Below are 10,330 nucleotides of genomic sequence, written 5' to 3' on the forward strand. Positions count from 1 at the left end.
TTTGGCTTAGGATTGACTTGGCAATGCGGGCTCTTTTTTGGTTCCATATGAACTTTAAAGTAGATTTTCCAATTCTGTGAAGAAAGTCATTGGTAGCTTGATGGGGATGGCATTGAATCTATAAATTACCTTGGGCAGTATGGCCATTTTCACGATATTGATTCTTCCTACCCATGAGCATGGAATGTTCTTCCATTCGTTTGTATCCTCTTTTATTTCACTGAGCAGTGGTTTGTAGTTCTCCTTGAAGAGGTCCTTCACATCCCTTGTAAGTTGGATTCCTAGGTATTTTATTCTCTTTGAAGCAATTGTGAATGGGAGTTCACTCATGATTTGTCTCTCTGTTTGTCTGTTAATGGTGTATAAGAATGCTTGTGATTTTTGCACATTGATTTTGTATCTTTAAAGAAGACTGAAAGCTGTAGCCGAAGAAACTCTCCTGTTGACCTCATAGAAGCCAGCTGCCCTCTTGTGGAGAGAACTATGTTGCAGGAAAGAGCTTGTATTCAAGGATGTGGACAACTCTGAACCCTCATATGCAGCTGATGGGAATATAAAATGGTTTTGGTCACTTTGAAAGACAGGCTGGCACTTCTTCATTAGGTTAAGCATTGAGTTACTGTATGACCCAGAACTTCCATTCTGAGTTATATACTGAAGATAGTTGAAAACACAAATCCACATAAAAACTTGCACAGACATGTTCATGGTAGGGTTACTCATAATTTTAAAAAGTGAAAACAACTCAAATGTGTGTGAACTTATAGATGGATAAATAAAACATGTCTTATCCTACAATGGAATATTATTTGAAAATTAAAGGAAATGAAGTAGTGACAAATGCTACAATGTGGAAGAACCTTAAAAACATAAGTGAATGGGAGGGGTCCTTTCCCCATTGTTTGTTTTTATGGCTTTTGTTGAAGATCAGATGTTGTAGGGGTGCAGCATTATTGCTGGGCTCTCTATTCTGTTCCATTGGATCTATGTGTCTGTTTTTGTACCACTACTATGCTTTTTTGTTATTGTTGTTGTTACTGTAGCCCTGCAGTATCGTTTGAAGTCGGGTAATGTGATGTTTCTCCAGTTTTGTTCTTTCTGCTTAAGAATGTCTTGACTATTTGAGCTCTATTTTGGTTCTATATGAATAAAAACTACCTATTGGGTAATATGCTCATTACCTGATGATTAAATAAGTTGTACATCAAACACCTGCGTCAAACAATTTACCTGTACCGCAAACCTGCACATATACCTCTGATCCTAAACATTTAAAAAAAAAAAAAAAGTGAAAGGGTCTAATCAAAAAATGCCACAAATTTTAAGATTCTATTTATATGATATAGACAGAATAGGCTACTCTGTAGAGACAAAGGGTAGAATAGTGTTTTCCTATGACTAGAAGTGGGGGAAATGTGTGGTGACTGCTAGCAGGTATGAGGTTTCTTTCTGATATGATGAAAATGTTTTAAATTTATTGTGGTGATGGTTGCATGAATCTGTGAATATTCTAAAATCATTGAAATATACACTTTAAAGGGATGAATTGTATGGTATACCAATTATCACAATCCTTTAAAATAATAAGCCACCAATCAAAATATAGTGGTTTAAAGTGTATAATACCCTATTTCTCTCATGTGCAGTACATGTCTGAGTTTGTGGGGTGGGTCTGCTCCACATAGACCTGCTCTGCTGTTCCTTCCAGGACACAGGTTTCTTCTACCTTGTTATTTTACCATCCTCAGTGAAATTGTTGTCTTATAAGTGTTCAAACTTCATTTATTGCTATAAGAAGGCACTGGTTAAAGTAAATGACATCTTTTAATATGGAGATGATACAGGAAAAGAGCAAATAGTAGAAATTATCACATAATCGAGCACCTTTTTATACTCAATTAATAAGCTTTAAATGGGATAACAAAGTTAATTTCATATAAAGAAATTTCATTCCCTAAGCTGTGTATCACTGTAAATAGCTGTGAATACAGAGTATGCATTTAACAAATAAAGCCATATGTTTTTTGCAAGATGGGAATTTGAGATGAATAAAAAGGCTTACATTTGGGTATAACAACTTTTATTATATTAAACTGTTTAGGTATTTGAGTGAAAATCATCTTATTTTAAAGTACTACTTCTTCAATTCAATATTGAATTTAATATTATTTTTTCTAGACAATGAGTACCAAGGATGTTAAATGTCAGTTATATTACTTAGGATTTTTACTGCACTTTTAATTGTGACATTTTTCAGAGTTTATACAGAGCAGAAATCTTTTTAACCTTAGAAAATTTGAGCAATCACCTAATTAAAGATTACCAAACATGTCTTATAATTTTACAACCCAACTTCTATTTCAGGAATGTTTAAAAGTTCATCTTTCTTACAAGCTTTAACCCAGAGAATAAAAACATTATACTTACCCATAAAATATTTAATTTCTAATACAATAAAAGCTCTTTTCATTTTTCTCTCTCTGGGGAAGCAATATTCTTCCTGATCAGTAGAAGTAAGGATAAAACAGTATAAAATTTGTGTCTGAGTCTTTGGGATAGCAGATTTTTTCCATTCTTATGTTTTTTGGTGGAATGAGTCTATATGAAATTGTATCTCAATTAATACCAGATTATAAAAATTAATAACAGATTATAAAATACCAGGTTATAAATTAATACCAGATTATAAAAACAATATATTTTTAAGTTAAAAATGCATTAGAGCAGAATCTAGACAATAAAAATGGAAGTAGGAGTTAAAGTAAAGTTGGCATTGGATACAATGTAACTTAACCTTTTCCCTGGGTTTTCAGAAGTTTTGCTTTATAATTGGGAAAAATGTGAAAATTTGAGACAATATATTTTGTTGTTTTTCTATGTATACTTTAAGAATGTAGTTTTAAAGTACATAAACATTAAGAATATTATTCTAAAGCATTGCATGATTTTAGCAATGTTTGGCCCACACAATATACCTCTGTCTACACCCTACATCACCTAAGAATTGGTCATTTGAAGGACTTTTCAGATTATGTTTCTTACCAACCCATTGGACTGAGATTTAAATGCTAAATATAAATTATAAATATAATTGCCTCCTACTCAAACATACTAGTGTTTATATCACAAACTTTAGTTTTGTAGTTTGGGGCCCTTTCTAGATAGCTGAGTAAGAAGCTGATTATTATAAAAAGAATACATTTTAGATAAATCTCACAATATGAATAAGCTTTTTAATTCCTTTACTGTATTATAGTTATCACATAAAACTTAGGGGATTCAGCATTATTTTTTCATCGCTAAGTTAAATAGTAGAAAAGTAAACCCCAAAGGTATTATTTACAGTTGCTCATAGCCTTACACCAAGCAAGTAGCAGAATTTTAATTCAAACTCAAATTTTCTGTTATCAAGTTCTATTTGAATAATGGGACTGATATAACTACTGCTCATTATACAACCACAGAAACCTCTTGTAAGAAAGAGTAGAGGAACACAGGCAATATATCTTCCAAAACGTTTGCAGATAGGTAGGCTGTGCCAAAAAGGCTTTACAATAAGAAGAATAACTAAAATATTCTGCCTACCTTTACAAGGACAGAGAATAAAGATTCTTCACAAGGAATATTAGCTTCAGAAACTTGGCCTTTCAAATCTCTTAAAAAGCAGTTGCTTAGGGAGAGGATCTTTAAAAATATGTGGATTGTGCTTGACGTAGCAAATTTCTTCTATCTGCAAAAGCCCTTTTCTCACTACCTCATATACACCCCTTTGATATGGCACCATGTTTGAAATTGGAGCGTACACACATAGTCATTGGATTTACTGGGATTCTCTTTGTGACAAGTAGGAGCCAAGGGGTCATGCAGGGAAGCGAACGTGCCCGATAAGGATTTCCTTGTTGCCAGAGTGTTTAGCAGCTGAGAAGTATGAAGCTGTTTGATGAAAGTTGCATGTGACTAAGGGAACTCAGAGTTTCTGGTCATAAGAGCTTTATGAAAGTTAGAGAGGACTGATGTAGACACAAAGTCACTTTTGGAGCCTGAGGTTTTAAGAGGAACCTCACTTGCACATGGGTGATCTGGGGCTGAGTATTAGCTCTGGGTGTGTCCACTGCGAATTCATGAGAAACAGCTGTGTCTCTCAATACAGCTAGAAATCACAAACACCTGGTGCTACTGAGGATCTACCCAGGCATATCACTGGATCTCATGCACCATCAATAACAGTTTCACATAACACCATGCCATTAACTCTCTCTCTGTCTCTCTCTCTCTCGGACTCTCGCTCTGTCCCCGAGGCTGGAGTGCAGTGGCGCGATCTTGGCTCACTGCAAGCTCTGCCTCCCGGGTTCACGCCATTCTCCGGCCTCAGCCTCCCGAGGAGCTGAGACTACAGGCACCCGCCCCAAGCCCGGCTAATTTTTTCTTTTCGTATTTCTAGTAGAGACGGGGTCTCACAATGTTAGCCAGGATGGTCTGTATCTCCTTACCTTGTGATACCCCCACCTCGGCCTCCCCAAGTGTTGGGATTACAGGCGTGAGCCACTACGCCCGGCCACCATGCCATTAACTTTCATACATATCCTAAAATAATTTTCATAAGAATAATCATAGAACTTTTAAAAAGATGATAATAAAACTATTCTGAGATACATGGATAAATCGAAGTTTTTTTGTTTTTGTTTTTTTTGAGATAGGATTCTACTCTGTCACCCAGACTGGACTGCAGAGGCATAGTCACGGGTCACTGCAGCCTCAACCGCTCCAGGCTCAAGTAATCCTCACACCTCAGCTTCCCAAGTAGCCGGGACTACAGGTGTGCGCCACTATGCCTGGCTAATTTTGTAAAGATGGAGTTTCACTATGTTGCCCAGGCTGATCTGTAATGCCTGGGCTCAAGTGATCATCCCGGATCAGCCTCCCAAAGTGCTGGGGTTATAGGAATGGGCCACTGCCCCTGGCTTCAAGTTCTGAAATACAGAAATTCAGTTTTGTAAACTGTCAATTTAGAAACTAATTTATAATATTAAATTTCATTAAAAAATCCATTATGTTGGGAAGATAATTACATAGTTAATTACAAAATGTTAAAATTCAGCATAGCATCAAAGTTTCGAAAATAAATACAATGCCTGGATAAGTATACTACTACACACACACACACATACATTTATACACACATAAACACACACATATACACACATACGTATGCACACAAAGGGCTAAAAAAGCAACATTACAAGCCTAAATGCCACTAAACTTTTTGTGGGGCTGGTCATTTGAAACATAACTAAAGTCAGTCTGGAAAGCTTAATATGAAAACAAAATAATGAAAAACTTACAAAATATGAAGCAGTAATGGGGAGATTACATTACTAGCAGCCATGACATATTTTAAAGCTGCCAGAATAGAATTTCTACTTGTAGGAATCATGATGTAGTCTGTTTCAGACAACAATCCCTGCTGTTTGAGACTAGCTGCACTATCATCTATCTATCTATCATCTATCTATATATCTATCTTTCTTTCTATCATCTATCCACCCATCCTTCTATCTGTCTTTCGATCTATTTATCCAAATCTTTATTTCATCTTTCCCTTTAAGGAATTGCTGACAAAGAAAGGGGTGCTTAAAGAGAAGATGGAAATCTCTGAGATATAAATTTTAGATGAGATTTCAATAATATTGAAATTGCACATTGGGGAAATTGCAATATGAGGGGAAATTGCAATTGGAGTTCAGAGCTAGTAAGAAAGAGAAACCTTGGTAAAAACAACCAGTTTCCAGTGAAGTCTGTAGAATAGCAAAATGGTAGAAGTCCCAGTTACTTAGAATACTCTAACAAAATGCTAAAATGAAGCCTCAAAGTAGATCACTACCTGACTGGATTGAAGTGAGCTGCTCCTAATTACATTGCATGCTGGAAAGCAAATGTAAATATTTTCTAGAGACTCAATTTATTTCCTAAATTACTCACATTTAAATTTTAGTATGAAAACAAAAATATCTGTGCACACCAGGAGAAGAAGAAATGTTCAAAGGGAAAAAAAAGAGATAATAGACTTTAGAAACAGACCCAAATGTGACCCAGGTACAGAAATTATGGAATGAATGTTTTTGTATATTTTAGAAAGTCAATGACAACAGGAGAAAGTGGAAATACTAGAACTAAAAAATATTAAAAATAATTTAATAAATTAGTAGATAGGCTAGTAGCATATTAGTCTCTTGAGAAGATGAGGGGATTGAGCTGAAGTATGGGTCAATATTAAAATATAGAAAATATACTACTAATGCAAGTGAAATAAGTATTGAAATACATAAAACTGGAGTTACAGAAAGAGAGAATGGAGCAAATATTTGAAGACATAATGTCAGAGTTTTGAAATTGGTAATGATCATGATGTCAATGACTTAAGATGTTCTATGATCACCAATCTTGTTTCAACCCTTTATATATGAATATTTGCTCTCTTCCATGGATCATGGAATCTCAGTCCCTACGTATTGGCAGCCCAGGAGTTGGCAAAATTATTCAAGAGGAAATTCCACATAGACTTCTAGGCTTCTGCCACCAATTTCATAGCCTCTTTGTAAGTTCTAAATGCTGATCTGCTTCCTTCTTTCAGATAGATCTCCTCATGCTTGGGCTTAGCCTCGCTGTGCTGAAATTATATCCTACAAAACTAAGCCCAAATGGAAGTGGGACAGTCCTCACGTATCTCCCTTTCTAAAAAATTTCAATCCTGCAGTGGTTCCATCTGCAATTACCATTTTATAAATTTTCTTCAGATTTTATATTGTTCTTACCAATTTCTCCATCATGAATGGAATTAGAAAATTAATGCACGTTAAAAAATATTGCTATAGATGTTGTGTATGGTATTCCCTGTTTTGGGGAAGACTGAAAGCAGAGAAGACAGCTGGTTCATGTATTTTTTTCATGCTTTAGATTTAAGTGTCCACAGACAAGATATTACTGTTCATGAACAGTATTTTTCTATGAAGTTTCTTTTCACGGATTTTCTCTTGTGACTCACCTACTAAACTCCATCTGGCTCTTACCAATGCCCTTTCCTGACCATTCTTATACTCTTAACCAACTGCTGAATCTCATTTATTTAGAAAAAAAGTTTATTTCTCAAACTTTTCCCTTCATTTTCTTTCTGTGACCAAAGTTTAAATATCTCCTAAAGGCATTCTCCCTGCATATTTTTCCAATACGGGATGCTCTTCTAGTCTGCCCCTCTTGTTAGTGGCTGAAATGTGGCAGAGCAAACCTCCATGTTCCTCACTGCTGCTCTTAAATAAATCTCCATTTCTCCTCTCTAAAAATCCCTATCTTTGAAACTCACATCCTTAGACTCTTCTATCCACTACATTTTTGTTGGAATTATCAGCTGAAAATCATATTAAGACTCATTTTTGAAGACATTCTTTCTTACTGATTGTCATTTGTCTCCAACACTGCTCCTCTTGTCATCACCGTTGGTTTCAGTATCTACTAATTGACCCTTTCAATAGCCTGGCCTAAATTCCATGATCTCCTTTCTTTAATGATTTCATCTTTCGCCTTACTTCAACTTTGTATTTATGTGTCCTTAAAAAAAGAAGTTATCACCACAATAGTCTCAATTTTATGTATCTTACTCTCCATCTACAAACACTTAACATTTACAGTTTGTTTCCCCCAGTGATACTGAAAATTCTCACACCCCACCAGGACTGGTATATCATACATCCTACTACTCTAGTCCACAACTGACATATACACTAACTTATAATCATCATCATTTGTATGCGTCTTTAACTTATTAAACTCACTCTCTTTTCTATATTCATTTTGCATTACTACAAATCTAGCTAATGAGCTCTCCACCGTGGCACCTATGAGTAGTGTCTACTCCTGTGTAGTTGAAGGGAGTTGGAGGAAAAACATGCTGACTGATCTCAATCTTCATTTATTAACTAACTTTAAATGAGATTCTTATGGTGTCTAGCAAGCATATTATTCTGTTCTTATCTATTCATTTTCTCACTGCCCTCTATGATTCTTTCAAACATTTTCATCTCTCTTTAAAGTTTCAAAACCTTCCTCTATTTTCATTCTTGGCTGTAGACATTGACTTGACTTTTTTTTCCCACATTGTGGTTAAAATATTTTACCATCCTAAACATTTTTAAATGCACAGTTCATTAGTGTTAAGTATGTTTACATTGTTGTGTAACAGGTCTGCAGAGCTTTTGACATAGACTTTTATATTATCCAGGCAATAGAAGTAAGTCGAAGTGAACGCTCACTAGCACCACAGTACAACCAGCAAATATTCTCAGATACCTGCATCTTGACCATATACTTAGTTTGTTCACTATGCATGGGCTACTCAAACTCATACAACTAGCTAACACTCTCACTTGTATATTATTGTTCCCTACTCTCTTATTCAAGAGCATTAGATCAGCAGTTGTCCTCTCTTGCTCCCTCCACACTTGATCTTTCGCATCAACATATAGACTTTTATTTTTCTCGTGTTAAACATGACTTTCTTGATCATACTTTCTCTCTCTAACTACTATATTACTCTTCTCCTAGAAGGACTTTACATTTTCTTCCTCTAGTCTTTTCCTTCCTACTCTCTCTTGGATTACTAGCAGCGTTTCATGCTAACACTATGCAGGAACTATTTTTGCAATATCACCAATGTTGCTGAATTTAAAACGTGTGTCTCAGTACTTACTTCTGTTAACCTTTCTGGAGCATTTGCTACAGCCCATGAATCTCTCCTCCTAGATGTATGTCTTTTATTGGTTTCCAGAACCCTACGCCTTCTAAAGTTCTTTCTTATTGATTTCCCTTGTCAGTCTATATTGCTAGTTACTTCTAATCTTCCAAATTACTTCAAACTGGGTGCCTTTGGACTCAGTTCTGATATCACCTGTGAACTCCAGACATTATTTATCTACCTAATTGATCTTTATATTTTTGGATATCTAATAGGTATTTTAAAATGTATATGACTAAGGACAAATTTATAACCTAATGCCCTATCCTCAATCTGTTCCTCTATTGTCTTCCCAATTTCAGTTTATAGCAACTCCATTCTCCCTTTACCTTAAGCCAAAACTTTGAGTTTTGCTTGACACCAATCTCGTCTCATGCCTATAAACGATGCATCACATATTCTGTATTCAGATTATATTTTGAATCTCATCACTAGCTCACTTCACCATTGTCCCCTTGGTCTCCCTAATAGCACTAGCTAATAAGAGTTACCTCAGTCATAAAAATGTCCTGTATTTGTATTGCCTATAGCATAGCCTCTAGCCACATATGGCTATTGAACACTTGAAATGTGCTAATGTCATTGAGAAAACTAATTAATTATACTTAATTTAAATAGTAACCTGACTAAAGGGCACTATATTGTACAAGGCAGGTCTATTCCTCTATGCTAGATAATCCTCAGGCTTTTTATTTTATTTTTTTTTTGAGATGGAGTTTCACTCTTGTCACCCAGGCTGGTGTGCAGTGGTGAGATCTCTGCTCACTGCAACCTCCTCCTCCCAGATTCAAGTGATTCTCCTGTCTCAGCCTTCCTAGTAGCTGGGATTACAGGCATGTGCCAGCACGTCCAGCTAATTTTTGTATTTTTAATAGAGACGACGTTTCACCATGTTGGACAGGCTGGTCTTGAACTCCTGACCTCAGGTGATCTGCCTGTCTCGGCCTCCCAAAGTGCTGGGATTACAGGCGTGAGCCACCGCACCCGGCCCTCAGGCTTTTTTCAAACACAACTTTCCTGATATACTTTATATATAATGAAATTCATTTGTTTCAAGTGTGCAGTTCACTTTTTCTAAATGGTAAATCTATCGTCGTAAATGACTTTTAGAACATTTTCATTTTCCAATAAGATACCTGCAATGAGTATCCCTCATTCCCATTGAGAATTACTCCCTATTCCCAACCCAGCCCCAGGAAACCACTAATCTACTTTCTATATCTGTAATTTTGCCTTTTCTGGGCATTTCATGTAAAATAAGATTGCACCATACCGACTGTTGTGCCTTACTTTTTTCACTTTGCATACGATTTTTGAGGTTCTTCCATGAAATATTATTCGTCGGTAGCTCATCCCTTTTCCTAAACAGTACTCCGTTGTATGCATATATCACATTTTTTCTGTTAATTCAACAATTGGTGAATAGTAAGGTTCTTTCCACGTTTTAGCTACTGTAAATACTACTCCTATGAACATCCATGTACACATTGTGTGGACATATGCTTTTTTTTCCTCTTAGGTTCATACCTAGAATTGGAGCTGCTG

The 10,330-nt window shown here is 35.8% G+C and overlaps 1 annotated feature.

The window, feature by feature from the left end:
- Nucleotides 288–582: a silencer, noted in NCBI's record as "tiled region #1723; HepG2 Repressive non-DNase unmatched - State 13:Ctcf". NCBI's record gives its function as "represses a minimal TATA promoter and a strong SV40 promoter by Sharpr-MPRA in HepG2 cells {active_cell/tissue: HepG2}" and the evidence as "EXISTENCE:reporter gene assay evidence [ECO:0000049][PMID:27701403]".

This window comes from Homo sapiens, chromosome 13 (genome assembly GCF_000001405.40).
Source record: "Homo sapiens chromosome 13, GRCh38.p14 Primary Assembly".
Taxonomy (NCBI): Eukaryota; Metazoa; Chordata; class Mammalia; order Primates; family Hominidae; genus Homo; species Homo sapiens.